Below are 18,597 nucleotides of genomic sequence, written 5' to 3'. Positions count from 1 at the left end.
AACAGTTAACATTTTGTTTAAACCAATAATGCTATGTGTAGCAAAACACTGTAGAGTAAAATATAAAAGCAATTTTCTCTTTATAAGATATTGATTTTTAAATAACTAATCAAGGTTTGAGGTTACCCTATGGAAGGAAAAAAGACCAACTCAAAACTAGGATTAATAAAGCTGTACACACAATTTCAGTACTCTGAACCTTGGTTTTAAAGCAATTAGTGAAATAACTCAGGGACCAATGTTACAAATGTAGCAGATAACATGACAACAAATACATACTTTTAGTTTTTTAAGTTTTAAAATGAATTTTAAATTTAAATGGAGGTAAAATAATTGTATCCTTGCATTTAGGATTAACTCTAATCAAATGCTTGGTTTGGAGACACTAAACTTTTCCTCAAGGTTACTGTGAGGCTTGGGAGGCTGAGAAGTAACAAGATCAAGTTCATGCAGTTTTAGTGACCTTGCTTATAGCCAATTTAAAGGCTCTGAGAACAAGTGAATTTCTGAATAAAGCTATAGCTCATGTTTTGGTATTTCGTTTTAAACTTTAGCCTCAGTAGAAATTGGCATAAAAATATTTGATCCCTCAAGGAGTCTTTCAGTTATTGAACAACCTGAATGGAGCCTCGGAAGCACAGCTACCTGCAAACATACGGAAAACGGAGAACAAGAAATTAAAGTGAGAATTCAATTATACACAGAGCTCTATGGCGCTAGGGCCAGCATATTATTCCTTGAACATCAGAGCACTTAGCCCATAGGAAAAAAAAAAAAGCCACAAAAGACACTACAATGTTTAGTTCATACAAAACAATATAAAAAACAGTTTGATCCCTAGACTCAGAAAAGGACTGCCTTTATAGATAGCTGATGTATGTTTTTACATGGGCTCTCTCTGATATTTCATGCTCTTTTTACAAAATAGGGAGGAAGGTCTCTTGATATCACTTAAGCAATCAGAAAATGGCAAAACAAACTGTGGAAGCCCTTTGATTCCTCAGCAGTGTTTGTGGTTTCATATCATGGGCTTGACTCTTTGGAAGAACACAGTTCTTAACGTAAGATATCTTTAAGCAAAGAAAACTAAATGAAATTATCCCAACGCTTGTTCTCCTCCAAAATATTATTTATATTAGGGTAACAGGTCGATATTTTTTCTAAATGCTTATAAATTTGTCACAGCAGGAAAGAATCATTATTGCAAATAGCCTTTTTCTAGAGTCTACTGTATGCCAAAGATTTTACATACAAGTTTCAAAGATGCATTGATTCACCAAGTATTTTTTAAGTACCTGTCTTAGTCACTTTTGGCCTCTATAACAAAATACCTTACACTGGCTAGCTTATAAACAACAGAAATTAAGTTCTCACAGTTCTGAAGGCTGGGACCTCAGCAATCAAGGCACTGACAGATTCGGCATCTGATGAGGCCCATTTTATGGCTCATAGATGGCACCTTCTCCTTGTGTTCTCACATGAGGGAAGGGGCAAGGCAGCTCTCTGAGGCCTCTTTTTAAAGGCATTAAACCCATCCATTCATAAGGTCATTGGAATATAATCATCTAATACCATCACATTATCATTAGATTCTCAACATACGGATTTTGGGAGGATTCAAACATTTAGATCATCGCAGTAGCTTACTATGTTATAAACCTTACAACAAATCTTCAAGGTATATATTGTTAGTACCACACTTCAAATGTGAACATTATTCTCAGTGAAGTCAAGTAATTCAACAAAATTTATAAATATAACATCATCGGCACAAGTATTCAAATCCAGGATATTTTCTCTTGCTATCTTAAGCAACACAAGCATAAAGAATCTCCAGTGCTTATGGATGTGACCTATTCGGAATATCATCTTTGGAAGAAATCTTTCATCTTCCCAGATAGGCTCAGTCTGTGATGATAGTATCTTACAACAATACAGAAAAAGTTGTAAGAATAAAATAGATTTTGACACAAATGTCAGGTAGAATGGATTATTCTTTATAGTTTATAGAATAACTCAAAGGGTTATAGGAGAGAAAAAATATCTGTAGAAATCTTATATGTTTCCAACTATTTATCAGTAAGAATAATGTAAGAGCATTCTCATTTTTGTCTTTATGACCAGTAAGTTCAGTGCTAACGTTTGAAAAGTAAATTGTATATTCCATTCCTGATTTCAGTTATAATGACAACAGACTCATCTAAATAATCTAGAAATGATTTTCTTCTTCATTTTAACTTTGCCCATTTTGGGAGAAAGCTCTCATAAAAAGTTTGAATATCTTAAAAAGTTTAAATTGGTACCCTGCTATAATCATGGTAGAATCAGGGAAAGTCTAAAGTTGTAAGATTAATAAAACAATACAGAGCAAATTTGCAGTGATTAGATTAAGATAATTTACATTTCTATTTGAATGTGTAAATTATATGTCAGGATGTGCTACTTATCTACCATACGATATATTTGATATCAAATATGTTTTTACAAATAATATTAACATTCAGCTACAAGAGTTCTCCAGAGTACTCTGTTTCATTAATCAATAAGGTAAATACCTTAATATTGTATGTTACAGATTGTATTGACGTACTGCAAGTACATCCATTCTCAGTATCCTGATAACAACCTTAAACTTTTATTCTCTAATTAAACGTTAAAATTCTGAGATTTATGATTGTCAAATTATTTTTTCCAAGTCAAGGTTGCACCTGTGGTCATTTCATGTCAGTCCTAGACAAAGCTAAATGTCATTTCTTACATAATTGTCACCAACTTTAATTTCCCCTTTAGACAGCTCACTTTTAGGTCTTTTTACTAACACGATTTCCATGCAAAGCAGTTTTAGACATAAAAGATAACTTTTGAAAAAAAATCTCAATTTCTACACAAGACCTGATTTATGATAGCTGTTTTAATTTTTTTACTACATAATATTCTATTTTTAAAAAGCTTGTTATAAAACCTCTTCCGTCTTCACAATGTAGCAGCGTACTCTATTTTTACTGATTTAGCACTAATTTTCATCCTCTGGCAACTGCTTTCCCTAGCATAATCTCTTATTGGCTATCAAGCAGGGCTTATCAGTGAATAATCCTGTCAAATTTAGAGTCAGCTATGTGACCAGGGATGCCTGATTATTTCCTGAATCGTGCCTAGTCTCAAGAACCTTAATGTAGCTTCAGTCTTAGCTTGCTCCTTATTTTCTCTACAAGATGATAGTTTCACATTAGCCAATACCAATTTCCTATTTCTATCAGCTATATAATAGTGTCAGTTTAAAAAGAGAAATTTCTTTTCTAAAAAATGATTACATCAAAGCAGATTATCAATAAAGATGAATAACTGCCTTGTAGTCTCTAAAATAATTCTAAAACCTTTTTGTTACCCCAATACATTCTTCAACTACCTTGATACAATTTCTACAGTAAAATAAAAGCATAGTAGCAAAATATTTTGTCTAACCTTGGTGTACAAATGAAGGTGAGCTAATTTCTGAAATGGTCAGGAGGGATCATATTTGAAATTTCAATGCAATTGTCAGATTCATTAAATATATTTATAAAAAAATCATTGTGTAAAAGAAGGACACTTTTATGGAAATTACTTTTTCACATATGGGCATTTATAAATTTACTTCAAAGTGGTTAAAATTTGTCTTTTTTAAGAAAGACGTAGATTTATGTTAAATCTTCCATCTAAAGATGTTATTGGTAATGTTAAAAATAGACATCTGTTAGCAGAGCCAATATAATTCTCCAGATAATATCATTTACAAATTTTGCATGTCTAATCAATTTCTTGTTAAAGCTGCTGTACTGTTGTGTTAATTGGATTATTGCTCTAATTATATAATTCTCATTTTTTGTTAACACTTATTTGATTATTTTATTATGAACATAACACATACATATTTTAACATATTTAGACATTTAAGAAAAATGAGGCCAGGCACGGTGGCTCATGCCTGTAATCCCAGCACTTTGGGAGGCCAAGGCTGGTGGATCACTTGGGGTCAGGAGTTCGAGACCAGCCTGGCCAACATGGTGAAACCCTGTCTCTACTAAAAATACAAAAATTAGCTGGGCATGGTGGTGTGCACCTGTAATCCCAGCTACCTGAGAGGCTGAGGCAGGAGAATCGCTTAAACCTGGGAGGCAGAGGTTGCAGTGAGCCGAGACTGCGCCACTGCACTCCAGCCTGGATGACAGAGTGAGACTCCATCTCAAAAAAAAAAAAAGAAAAAAAAAAAGAAAAATGAGTTATCTACATTTACCCCCGAAAATCCAATACCTCACACACTGCTTGAGAGAAGCAAGAGCCTATGGAGGTGCCTGAATTAGTACCCAATGAGGAAGAACCCTCCCTGAGGGGGCTTTGTGTTAGGAAAGCAGACAGAGGTCCTGGCAGGCAGATGCCCAAGGCAACTATGCAGAGGCTACCACCTGACTCCTCTTTCCCTGCTGGAAACACAAGGGCATTTTTCTCCAATATATACTGTGAGAACCTGATCAAGCTCCTGGGTAAAACTCACAAAAGAGTGAAGGTACCTCTATGACTGAGTTCCTCTAGAGTGTTTAATTCTCAGAATTGTTTTTACTGATCCTCTTACAATTTGTTAATTATAGTTAGGTTTTCCCACCCTGACACTGGTTCCTGTGGAGGTTTCAGTTCATGAGTCTGTTCTTCCATAAGTTTTGACTCTCTGTATTGCCTATCTGTCTCCTTAATTTGGGGGTAGCAGTTAGCCCTATGACCTCATTTCTCCTCTGGATCAATAGAATGGTTGATTTTTCAGTTTGTTCAGCTTTTTACTTGTTTTTAGGATAAAGTGGCAATTTCAAGCTCCTTACATGTGGAAACAGCCTCATTAGTTTTTTTATTATTAGTATTCAAATAAGTGTTGGTAAGAAAGAAAATCAACTAGAATATTGATTTATTGCTGGTGAGGTGTCAATTGATAAAATTGCTTTGGAAAAGCATTTGGAATTCTTTACTGAAGTTGACCATATGTTTGTTCTATGAACTGGCAATTAAACTTCCGGGTATGCATACTCAACAGAAATTGTGCATGATGTACACATTTCAACCAAAAACTATTCACAAGAATGTTTGTGACAGCAATATTTATAGCAGTCTCAAACTGGAAAAAATTCAAATGCCCATCACTGTAACTTGAAAATATATTTTGGTAGTGTATAAAATGAATAGTGCACAGCATATAAACAAACAAACTGGTGCCAAATGCTACCATGGTGGGTGGAGAGGGGAGGGATAGCATTAGGAGATATACCTAATGCTAAATGATGAGTTAATGGGTGCAGCACACCAACATGGCACATGTATACATATGTAATAAACCTGCACGTTGTGCACATGTACCTGAAAACTTAAAGTATAATAATAATAAAATTTAAAAAAATGCATAAACGTACTACTGAGTATTAGAAGCCAGATCCCAAAGCACACATTGTATGATTCCATTTACGTAAGAATCTAAAAGTGGAGAAAAGCTGTTCTGTGTTGTTAGAACTCAAAATATAGGTTAAACTTTCAGAAGGGGAAGGGGAGTGAGGAATAGTGATGATGAGGGGCCATAACACAGGCTTTTGGGTGCTGGTAATAGTCTTTTTCTTAGCCAGGGTAGTGGATCTACAAGCGAGTTTCAGTTGGTCTCAGAACCTCAACTGGTATTCATGTCTCCCTTCTGCACTAACCATTCTAAATACTTCTCACCCTCAGCTATCACCTCTGCAGATCTTGGTGGCTTACAGGTGGTATGACTCAAGCCTTTGTTTGGTAACCACAACCTTCTCAAGCCAAGGTTGCTGTACATGTCCATTTTCAGTTATAATTGGGTGAAGGATTATCAAATAGTGCCCAAGTGGATCATCTGATTTCCACAAGTATGCCTCTCTCCCCACTGTGTAAAAAGAGCCCTTTTTTTTCCCTTACTGATCTGCATAAATTGTCTCTGCCAAGACAGTGACTTATCTCCTTGATTGCTGGTTGCTGGAAATGAAGAGTCCAATGTGTGCAGGTGGCAGCTGTAGCTTACATATCAATAAGGCCATTGTTCTTTCACTGAAAAGAGTTCTCTCCTTTCAGGGACCAGAACCTCTAACCCTACAGATTCCAGCACTGCAAGGACAAAAACATAAAATCCTACAAAAGATTCTAGGAAGGAATGATGAATGGGGTCACTCCTGTTTCCACCTCTTAGTTCCTGGCTCATGTGGAAATAGAACAATATGGAGGTGGTTGAGTCAGTGCATATACCGTGCTTTGAAGAATGGGACGTCATGCTTGAAGAGTACCCTCTCTGAGCTCATACTTCAGCTGTGCCTTCAGTGGGCCATTCAAATGCTGTATAAAGCTAGATACTTCTGGATGCGTTAGTACATGATACAATGAGTGAACCCCAAAATTATGGACCTATTCCTGCTTCTATTTGGCTATGAAATGAGTTATCTGGTCAGTTGCTATGTTGCTGAGAATTCATGCCTATGGATCAGGCATTCTTTAATTACCATAAGAAACCATAAGCCTATGGAAAGTGGTTCAGCAGGCAAGAAAGGAAAAACCCATACCCAGAATAGGTATCTATCTTTGAGGACAAGCCACTGGCCCCTTCAGGATAGAGGGGCTCAATGTAGTCAACTTGCCACCTAGAGAACTACTGATCTGTTTAGGAATAGACTTTATCAGCAGTAGTCTCTGTGGCTTTAGGTTGGACATTCAAAGGTAGTATTATCTAGGTCAGCCTTAGTAAGTAATAAACCATGGCACCATTTCTGCAAATGGCCACTCCATTCTTATGACTATTATGCTAGTTCTGGGACGGCTGTTGATTCAGGGTCAAGGTCCACACTTATGTGTTCAGTGGCTTTTCTATGATAAGTGCTTTATAAAGGGAAATTCTATGTGATGCAAAAATCTTCACACTTTGGGCACATTGCCATATGCTCATTCTCATGAATCTACCCAAGACTTCCTTGTCTTTGAATTTTCAAATCTTTTCCTTCCAGGCACCCTGGCATTTGGCTAGATGATTGGACACTGACCAGAAGTTTGTATATATTCCTACTTCAGAGCACTTTTGCTTTCACAAAAGTAGATGACCAGGTGCATTTATTTTATCTTTGCCCATTGAGAAGATTGTTTTCTCTTCACTGGTTCTCAAGATAATTTGCAAATGTAACTGTAATGCAACTACTATCCATTTTTGGCCTATACCAATTTACTGGGCTTTAAACCAAGTTTAGGCTTTTTCTCTTTAAGCCAAGTCTTACAGAAACTTCCAGTGGCCATAGATATGTGCTAGTGGAGGTGCACTGTGTAAACTACGGTGAGGGGCATGGCAACTCTGGGGCTTCCAGCTATAGGGTTTACTCCTGCCCTCTTGTCCCGCACAGGCTTGATCCTAAAACCACCGTTAAAATATTATAATGAACTGCTTGCTGGGCATGTCCAGCAAGTTTTATGATTTGGCAAGTTAAAAGCAGCCAGCTCACAAAAGGAAGTTCCAGATGCTTTGTCATGTAGTGCTCCATGGTCAGTAATGACACACCAGCAGTTCTTCCTTGATTCCAGATAGCCTAGCCTTCTTCAGAACCCCATTTGTACTTGCCATCCACTGCATATTACTGATAGCTTCAACAGCCTGAGAACTGCTGGATCATATGGCCCAAGAAGGAAAACTGCTTCTATCATTGCCTATATCTGCTGCAGTTCTTTTCTGCTTCAAGCAACACTCAAATCTGGCAGTCTTCTGTATTCCTCAGTATATGTACCAGAAAGGAATTCCTTAGTGTGGCATGAATTGCTCCTAGGACCCAAAGAAAACTACTAGTGATCGTAGTTCCTTTTTGTTTTATGGTATGGGATACAAAATAGCACATTTTTTCTTTTACTTTTGTGGGAGTATCTCAACATGTCCCTGATCTATGGGCCCACCTGTATCTTTGTAATTTTATCTTCTGCCTTCTGGGAAGCATAGGTATTACCCAGGCCATTAGGATATTAGCCCCTCCAGCTTGCCCTGTTCAGTCAACATGATTTCACACATGTAATGCATCAATGTGATATTCTGAAAGATGACAGGAAGGCCATGTTCTTTTTAGACTGTGTTGTGACAGTGTGAGATAGTTAACATAATAGTGGTATAAAATGACAGATAAATGTTGGTGTTCTTTTCATACGAGTATAAGATGTTTCTGAATCCTCTTGATTAGGATGGAAAAAAAATACATTCTCCAAATCAATGGCTTCTTATGAAGTGTGTGAAACTTTAATAATCTTCTCTAATAACAATACTATGTCCAAAATAGTAGCTGCAATTGGGACCACTACTTGGTTAAGATGGAATCGTTTACAGTCATCCTCAAGGATCCGTCTGCAGGAAACTAAATGTTGAGTTAAATGAAGATATTCTTTAGGAAAGGTTGGTATTAGTATCCATCATTACTGCTGGGATGCAATATTGGCTTTTTTGTTTGCTTTTTGTTTTGCTGTGTGTGTGTGTGTGTGTGTGTGTGTGTGTGTGTGTGTGTGTGTGTTGTGTATATTTAATTTGGTTTGGTTTGGTTTTGGTTTTACACTATCTTGGCTGAGGTCAAGGGCATTTTCAGAAACTTCCACTCAGCCTTCTCCAGTATGATAGCTCTTACCCCACAGGCCAAAAACTTAATGTGAGTATTCTTCCAATTGCCAAGTATATCTATCTCAATTCAATTATACTCTGGGAGACCTTGCAAAAAACATCTAAGTGGGTCTAGGGACCTAGTGGAATCACAGCAAAATAAATGTCAGTCAGAATTTCATTCATTACCTAGTCCCTACAGGCCCCCACTCTAACAAAGGGCCCCCACTCTAACAAAGGACCCCCACTCTAACAAAGGACCCATGGAGGTGTTTTAGGTTTTCAGATTTCAATGTCTGCTCCAGTCCTGTGCCTAACAGTCCTCAATATAACTGGATGGTCTTCTTTCACAGTATACAGACACCAGAGTAAGTAGCCATAGGTCTCTGTGGAGAAGGTTTGGGGAAATCATAATGGTATACACTTGTTTTTATGTTGCATTCTCTTCACTTATTGGGTCAAGATCTGAAAATAGATCCAGTCCAGGAGCTAAAGAAGGAATCGTGATTTTTTATTACAGCAACTGTTCTCAGCCCCATAATCCTCCATTCTTGCCTTCTTCTGATTGCAGATGGCAGGGAGCACCCTCATGAGCTGCCCATCTATCCTTCCCCTAGGAACATCAGAGTCTATTAGCCATCTCTGAAGGTCATTTCCACCTAGCTACCTCTCCACCTTGCCATCTGGTACGGTAATTGCTGCTCTCTGGCCCCCTGACAGTTAAGCACCACCTCCTGTCTTCTGCTACTTTTGAGGCCTCATCATTCCCATGGCCATTAACAAGATCATTGCTAAGACTGCCTAATATCCATTCTCCCCTTATTTCAGTAATTATGTCCCCAAATTTTAGCTAGAAACATGTCAAGCTATAGACCACATGCCTAGTCTCCCTCACAGGTAGTTAAGGCATTTGTGGCCAACGAAAAATGAACAAAATTACTGTATTATACTTCCAGTTGGTATCCTTAGAGGTCATGCAGTCATAAGCTTGTTTGTCTCTCTCTACTTCTGGATATTGAGTAGGCCTATCAAACATAATGGCTGGCATACCATTTTGAGCACAGGACTGATGTGATGCTGGAGTGATGAGGCAGAGATAGTTTGGGTTTCTAGAAGACTTCAAGGAATAAACATTTTACCAGTCCTGAATCACCTACCTCTGAACTATCCCATAAGAAAGAAGAAACTTCTATCTTGTTTAAGCACTTTATCTGCTGGATATTTTTAGAGGAGTTAAATCTGTATTCTAACTAAGACTCATCTCTGTCACTTCATCATAAATTTATTTTTAACTAGACATAAAATGTGAGGAAGGTAATTATAGGTGCAGAGAAAGCAGAAGTCTGGAATAGTCTGAGGTCCAAGCATCACACAGTTAGTAGCATCAGACATATGTCCTTCCTCAGTAAATCTCAAAAAGCTATTGTAACAAAATTGATAGCTTAGCACATCCCCAGAGCACACTCTCCCACTCAGAGGACTGGTTTCTCAGTTCCCGAACCTCTTCGCCTCAAATTAAATTTGCCCCTTATTCAGCCTCAAGTATTCACTCTCATGTTACAGCCTAGGTGCCACTACCATTAGCTGCTCTACCTTCAAAACCATCACCTCCTATCCAGCTTTCTACCTCTATTAACCTATGTCCAAACATATTTGAACTTCACAGGGACTTCTGGTATTTTGATCCCACCATCTTTTCATGTTCTCTTTCACCTTCTCATGTCTGTACATTGCTCCTTAGATCTAATAGTGGCTGTTTCTTATAACTCATTCATTCATTGTTACTTTGTGCAAGAAATATTTGTTGAGCAAATCAATATATCAGATATTTCTCTGAGTATTAGGGATGGAGAATTAAACACAATTTTTTAAAAAGATCTGCTTCTATGGGGATTACTTAGAGTAGGGAGAGATATATATAAGTGAACAGTAAAAATATATCTTCTGTGTCTTCATAATATATACATACATATATTTATATATTATCTATCATATATGATATATTGATGGTTTTAAATAAGGATGCACCTAATTTCAGCCTCAGCTGTAGCATATGAACCAAATCTGGTAGTCTCAAGTTTTGACCCTTAAAAACTAAGTAACTAACTAGTCCTTTAATATAATTTCTGGTGTCACTGATATTTGCATGGATAATTATTACATAATTACATAGGTTACCATCACATTTAATATGAATAACAGTGTCCATGAAATTAACATAAATTAAATTCTAATTTATTATTAATATCTTAATATTCAATTTCAAACATAAGTATGCATTCTGTATTTAAGGTGGAATGAAATTCACTCCATGGGCTTGTTGTAATTTTTAGACATTTGCTGTATAGCAATGTTTTGGAAAAATTCTCAAACCATGTTGTTCCTCTGCTCTCACACCAACTCAACAATAACCAACACAGAAGAAGACTTCTGTGACCTCAAAATATGTGGGGATTTCTTGCCACCAGCAAGAAAGCAATCAATTCTGCAGCAGACACCAACTGTATGTCCGCCAATTCAATTCTGACATTATCTACCTGGAGATAGCATCAGATCCCCCAGATTGAGGGCTCAGTCCCCAAGACTGCCCCCCACCCTACACACCAGTCACAAGTCTGGGCCTCCAGTACTTCTGGCCCACCAGCTTCAAGCTGGCGTTTTCACATCTCTCTCTTTGAGTTTGATGAGTTTGCTGGAGTGGTTCACAGAACTTAGGGAAATACATTTGCTGGTTTGTTTTAGAGAATATTGCAAAAAACATAGATGAAGAGATGCATAGAGTGAGGTATTCAGGAAGAGGCATGGATCTTCCATGCCTCCCCTGGGCGTGCCACCCTCCAGGAACCTCTACGTGCTCAGCTATCCAGAAGCCCTTCAAATTCTCTCGTCTTGGATTTTTATAAAAGCTTCATGATGTCAGCATTTCTTCCCCCAGGGTAGAGGGCAGAACCCTCTCTGGAATGAGAGTCTTATGACCCACAATCAGAAAGGCCAGTGATGGTTAGAGTCCTACTTTGGGGCAGGTGAAAGCTGGGCAGGAGAAGGTCAGAAAGAGTCTGTTTCATGAGGCCTGCTCTTGAAGCCCAGCACACGAATACACCCAACATTATAACAAAAGACTGTTACAAGGGCTATGGGAGTTATGAATTGGGAACTGTGGACAAAAATCTACACACACACACACACACACGCACACACACATAAGTTTATAATGTCAGCATTCCTTTAATTTTAAAATACTATTGATGTTAGAATTAAAAGGAATGATGACATCATGAAGCTTTCATAAATATCCAAGAACACAGGGCTTGAAGAGCTATGAGATAGCTGAACACGTGGAGATCCCTGGATTAAACATATAGCATGACACCACCATCTATTATTGAAACAGAAAGTACTGTGATAAGCTAATACAATGTAAAAACTATTACTTTTATAAACAGAAGTAAATTTTAAGAACGTTAATTAAATAAACAGGTAAATATACATGTAATTATTTATATCCAATTTGAGTTAACAGTATATTAAGATTAAGTAATAAAAGGAAAAATAGTAATTCTGATATTAATAGTATTTTAAAATTAAAATTTAACATTTGAGAATGGTATTTAGCTTTTAATTTTTGAATCTTTTTTTTGCCATAAGTCCTTCTAGAATAAGTTGTATTTGGATATTCTTCACCATTTGAAAAGAGAAACTAAAATCAGAGGGTATGGTGGTTCACAAATGTAATTCCAGCACTTTGGGAGGTCAAGGTGGGAGGATCACTTGAGTCCAGGTGTTTGAGACCAGCCTGGGCAATTACATGCTTAAAAACACCTGGGCAATGTGGCGAGACTCTGTGTCTACAAAAGATAAGAAAAAAAAATTAGCCAGATGTGGTGGCATGCTCCTGTGGTCCCAGCTGCTTGGGAAGCTGAGGCAGGAAGATTGCTTGTGCCCAGAAGGTCGAGGCTACAGTGAGCTGTGTGTTCACATCACTGCACTCCAGCCTGGGGGCATCAGAGTAAGACCCTGTCCCAAAGAAAAAGAGGATGAGGAAGGAGAAGGAGGAGGAGGAGGAGATGAGGAGGGGAGGAGGTAGTTGTCATTTACTGAGATGAGGAAAAATGTAACAGGAAGACAGGAAGCCAATTTTGGAGGGAAGATACAGACTTTAGTTTAGAACTTTGTAAGTTTGAGATGCATATTAGACATCCAACTGCTAAGTTGAGAATGTGCATATGAAATTTAGAGACTAAGTAGGGATGATAATAGGACTTGGAAGACCTCAGGGTAAGAATGACATTTCAGGCCTTGAGATGGGAAAAGATCATCAAGGATAGAGGAAGGAATATTCCATTCCCTTTTATGCACTTTCAATTCCTTGTCCCTCTTTTCTTCCCCTTAATAGGAAATCCTACTCCTGGTTAAATTCAATCATCCTGCCACAAGTCTAAGCCTGTACAGCTGAAGGTAATGAAAGGAAAAGCACATGACTCTTAATCAAGGATCACAAGTAAGGGTGTTTTGGACTTGCCTGGAAGTCCTAATACATCCAGCACTCAATTCACTGTTCCCTCCCAAAAAAAGAAGTCTATACTTGTACTCTCTCCTCTGAGTTCTAACATCCCTTCTCCTGACTCTTAGATATTGGCCTTACATTTTATTTTCCAAAGAAAACAGAAGCACCAGAAGAGGCCATTTCATCATCCCTTCATTAGACCTAGTTTCTGTCTCTATCTCTATTTCTACACTCTGCTCACCCTCCTTTTTCAATAGATGGAATCCCTCAGCTTCCCTCCAAGGTTCATGCTTCCATTCCTACTGTATTGTAACCATCTTCCATCTTAGCAACAGCAACAAATTCTCAGGCTTCAGGCTCTTTGTAGCTCCTTTCGAATTATCCTCAATTAATAAGAAAACTCCAAAAATATGTACCTAGACTCACTCTCCAGATTCCTTACCTCCAATTCTCTTTTAATCCACTCCATTCAGGCTTCTATTTCTCAAACCTCATCGAACTCACATTCACAACTCCTCTTACCGCCATTTGACTCAGTAAGTCACTACTTTTTTTTTTTTTTTTTTTTTTTTTTGAGATGGCGTCTCGCTCTGTCACCCAGGCTGGAGTGCAGTGGCATGAGCTCTGCTCACTGCAACCTCCACATCCCAGGTTCAAGCAACTCCCCTGCCTCAGCCTCCTGAGTAGCTGAGACTACAGGCTACTCAGGAGGTGGGTGTGGGTGTGCCACCACGCCCAGCTAATGTTTTTGTATTTTTAGTTTAGATGGGGTTTCACCATATTGGCAAGGATAGTCTCAATCTCTTGACCTCGTGATCCACCCGCCTTGGCCTCCCAAAGTGCTGGGATTACAGGCATGAGCCACTGTGCCTGACCACTACGTCTTTTTTATACTCTTCCTTCTCTTGGATCCTGGGATATCCAACAAACTACCTTTGAAGTCAGACAAATAAGTAAAATACTATGCAATAAGTGCCATACTTTAGATTTGCAGGAATAAGAGATTGCAAATTCCAGAGAGGTACAAGGAGGAGGGATCACAAATGAGTTTTTTCTGGACCTGGAAGAATGAGCACATTAATATGTTAACATAAATAACAACACAACATATCTACTCTAGAAACCTGTGTGTGTGTGTGTGTGTGTGTGTGTGTGTGTGTGTGTGTATATATATATATATATACAATCAACTATCACTTGACATTAAGTTTATCTGTGGCTAAAACTCCATATTAAAGAAAGAATCGTGTTTTCTATTTCTTTGAAGGCAACAATGGAAATCCTAGTGATGAACCATAGAATAATTTAATGTGTTTGTTTCAGAGGGTAAGTGACATAGATTCTGTATGTGTGTGACATCACAAGTATCAGTTGTTTAATGTAGAAAAAGAAAAACAACCCCAAAACCAGAGTAAGCCTGGAATGCAGGCTCAACATCCCGTCCGTCTGCCCTACCCCAGACCATAAGGTATGCAATAAAATATAATCTTTAAAAAGTATATCAATTATCATTGGCAAGAAACTTAGAATAAAGAAGCATTATTACCTCAATTTCACAAGAAAACTGAAGATTAAGTAAATTTCCCAAGGTTACAAGATTAGTAATTAAAATCTCCTTCCAATATTCCTACAGTTTAGTTTCCACCGACCCTTCAGCTATTCAAAAATCACCAATATTTTAAAATGTCCTTTCATCATTAAAAGCAAAAAGGTAACTTTTTCGGTGTTAAAATTAGAACACTCATCTCAAGATGAATGAGGAAAATAATCTTGTGAAGAATTTTATTCTGAAAGGTAATTTTTAGGCTCAAATAGGCGACAGCTGACTTGTATTAGCGTATTTTAAGGTGCAAAATAATCTTTATTAAAATGTTTGTTTTCGGGAAAAATCTTGTTTCAGAAAACAAAATGGATAAAATACAAAACTCCTAGAAGCATTAGCTTTACCTACTGGGCAAACAAATAAATGATTTTCATAAATATCAGAACACTAAACGGCTACCCCAGATTCTGATTTTGAATTTGCTATTCTATTCATTTCTTTTTCAAAATTCCCTTTGAAATCATATTAGTATGGAGAGTTGACTATTTTGATTATAAGAAATGAAAGCCAAGGCAGCCGTGCGTATATGACATTTATAGATTTATAATCACCTGAGATCTCTGTGTAAATATTTATGAGGAAAGATTCCCTCCTAGTTTTAAGACAGGCACTTTTGTTTGCCAAATCTCAGCTCTGGTCCTAATTCCCATCTTGGGGAAAAAAATCTTTTGGCTCCACCTGAGTTAGGAAGTCTTCTAAATGAGGATATGAATGTTTTTGCATTATCACCCAGTTATCTTTATGAAGGTCTTTCAAGTTCAAATAGACTTTGGCTCTTTCTTTTATTTCAGAGGACAAAACTGCGGTACACAATGGACCAACCCCCACATGATAAAAACATCCAAGGGAAGTTAAAGATTCTTGTCCTCCAGACATGAGGCCCATTCAATATGTAACCTTTCATCAGGAAGATCCATGGAAACAGAAAAGATTTTTAAGTAAATGCGATCAGCCCATTTAAAAAAGGTACACACAAAGGCATGCCAGGTGATCCAGATGAATAAAGGGGATTAAAAACTTCCATTTACAAATCTCCAAATGAAACAAGATAAATGCCTGCAGAAAAGGCTGAGTTTTTCTTTACTCCAGGTAGTTTTACATTTCACCCAAATAATTTGCATTTCCCCAACCCAGTGTGTCAGTTATCTCTTCAAATATTCAAATTTTCCTTCTCCTTAGTACTGATTTATGTATGCCATTCTAAAAGGTTGTAATTACATTTCCTTTTTAAAAACGAGCCTATATGTAACATTTTTTCTCTCAGGTACTTTAGCCCTGTATTTTTTAATTGCTTCTGTGGAACCGCAGTAAAGGACCATAACTTCTTTTCCTTTATAGACCTCTACAATGTTTTACACTGTGAATGAAGAAAAAATACTAAAAAATTTGGTTAAATACAGAAGTGAAACTATGAAGACACAGAGTATAGGTTTGGTGAACAGCATTTTTGACTGTATGCCTGATCCCTGAAACATCCTCATAAAGGAAGAAGATTCAGGAGATGCAATCAGTTCCATCAGTTACGTAGGTCAAGAATATTACAAACCCAAGGCTGTCTCTCTGTGTCTGCTATCACTACCTTTTTTTCCAAGCTTCCCCTCTGTTTGCTCAGATGTCTGCAAATTCTCTATGATGGACTGGGTTTTCCAAATATGGCCTCAAGAATATCTCCCAACCCATACGGTCTTCTAAAACTTGCTGTGCACACATCAACAGGGGCAAACTATTCTTCTTGCATTACATTAAATCTAGGTGGTTTTGTGACTTGCCTGTAAGTAATAAAATGCTGTAACTCTGTGAAACTTCCAAAGCTGAATCATATAGTGTGACTCAGCTTCCACCTATTTGCTAAAACACTCACCCCATGCCTGGAGCCCAGAGCTATCATGGTAGGGGTCAAACCAGCCTCAGGCAGCCATGCTGCAAGGAAGCTGAACCATATGGAGTGGCCCGCATAGGTTATCTGGCTAGTGGTGCTCATCATCTATTCCTCCCATTCTAGGAACTAGCCATACGGGTGAACAAGCTTTCATGTAATCCCAGCCTCCTGCCATCAATTCACCCACAGCACCTGCAGCTTTTAAGTCTTGAGGTCTCAGACATCATGGAACAGAAATAAGCTGTCCCTGTTGTACCCTTTCTGTATTCCTGACCAACAGGATCCATGAATATATTAGTGTGGCTGTTTTAAGCTTCTGTGCTTGAGGGAAATTTGTTATGCAGCCTCATCATAGCAGTTCCTACTTCTGATCTGGTCTTCCCGTGGTTTAGTTCTCACAGTGTTGCCAGTACTCTGTCATCCTTCAGAAATAAAAAGGTAGCCATGATCTTCCCTGCATGACTCTCCTTTCTCAGCTCTTCATTTCTTGCTACTACAAATTATTTGTCTTCAGCCTCAACAGCACCTTAAACATGCAGCAAAAACGCATTAATTCAGCCCTGGTCCATGAACTCTCTCATTGCTCCCAGAGTTTATTCTACATCTTTACCAATAACCTGTAAGTTACTATTCCACTAACTCAGCAAACTTTATTGTCATTTTTCTCATTTGGAAAATAATGATATCCAGGGGAGAATTATTTCAATTATCAACCCCCATCCAAATTTCATTCCACGGACACACATCTTTGGTTTTTCCCTTCTGTCTAAGATCAGTAGTCTTTTTCTTCTGTCCACTGAAGAGTATTCAGTTCTATACTGTTTATCACATTTTCTTCCATCACCTCTGGAAATTTACTCCAATATTTATCTACTCTCTTGCCTAAATCTTTTTAACTCTTATTGGCTCTTGGCCCTCTGGCTGAATCTGTAAGAATATTCACAATTTTTTCCACACTTACAAAAAGTTATCTGCTTTTTTTTTAAGTCTCTTAAAACTTATCTCCCGTCAATCTCTTGCAGAACTTACCTACAATACTTTTCCATTCTTGTATGCATTCTTCTTTGCCATGAGATTTTTGACACTTCACCACCAATGGATGAAGTCTCTACCTCTTGAATCTGAATGTCCCTGTAAATTGCTTTGACTAACAGAATATTGACAACATAGGCAAAAGCCCAACCTAGCTTCCATTTAGAGAGATCCAGTTATTCCAGACATCACGATCACCTTCTCTGAGGTCCTATGCGTAAGAGCAAGGCCAAGTGTACAATGTGGGCCAGAGATAAGTAATCCCAGCTGAGCCCAGATCAAATGGCCAACCAACAGAATTGTGAGCTAAAAAGTGATTGTTGTTTCAAGCCACCAAGTTTGCTGGTGGTTTGTTATGCAGCAAAACTTAACTAACACAGCAATTCCTACCTGGAAGTGAGATGCTGCCGTAACAAACATCTAATACAGGTGTCATTGGTTTTGGAACCTGTTTCCAGGTGGAGGCTGGAAAAGCAGAAAGGAAACTATTAACAGATACTTGAAAAGTGGTGAGAAAACTGTAACAGGCCACAAAAATTGTGACCTTTCTTATGAAATAGACAAACAATTGTCAAGCTGTAAACTATACAAATTTGGAAGATAGAATGTGTACCTAATGAAGTTGTAGATTTGGCTAAGGATATTGGCAAGCAGATTGTTGAAATGAACAAAGAAGAAATTGTTCCAGTTCACAAATGGAATTTTGAAAAAAATATAGACTGCCTAGAACTTGCTGGGTTAGAAAATAGAACTGTTTCTTACTTAGTCTTTCAAACCAGTAAACAGTTCTAACAGTAATAAATGGCTTTGTGCTAAAGGTTAAACTGAAGATGGAGATATAAGTGTCCTTGGGATGCCTGAGTAGAGAGAGGACTATCTTAACGAAAATTGTGTGGTTTTTAACTGATGATGTGGATTATAATATGATAAACAAGATATGG

General features: G+C 37.8%; 1 annotated feature.

The window, feature by feature from the left end:
- Positions 15,812-17,011: an enhancer, noted in NCBI's record as "P300/CBP strongly-dependent group 1 enhancer chr4:27465247-27466446 (GRCh37/hg19 assembly coordinates)". NCBI's record gives its function as "activates an origin of replication core promoter dependent on BRD2, BRD4, P300/CBP, MED14 and CDK7 cofactors, with strong dependence on P300/CBP, by STARR-seq in HCT116 cells {active_cell/tissue: HCT116}" and the evidence as "EXISTENCE:reporter gene assay evidence [ECO:0000049][PMID:35650434]".

This window comes from Homo sapiens, chromosome 4, assembly GCF_000001405.40.
Source record: "Homo sapiens chromosome 4, GRCh38.p14 Primary Assembly".
Taxonomy (NCBI): Eukaryota; Metazoa; Chordata; class Mammalia; order Primates; family Hominidae; genus Homo; species Homo sapiens.
Note: the sequence above shows the minus strand (reverse complement) of the source record. Positions and strands in the feature narration are given on the sequence as shown.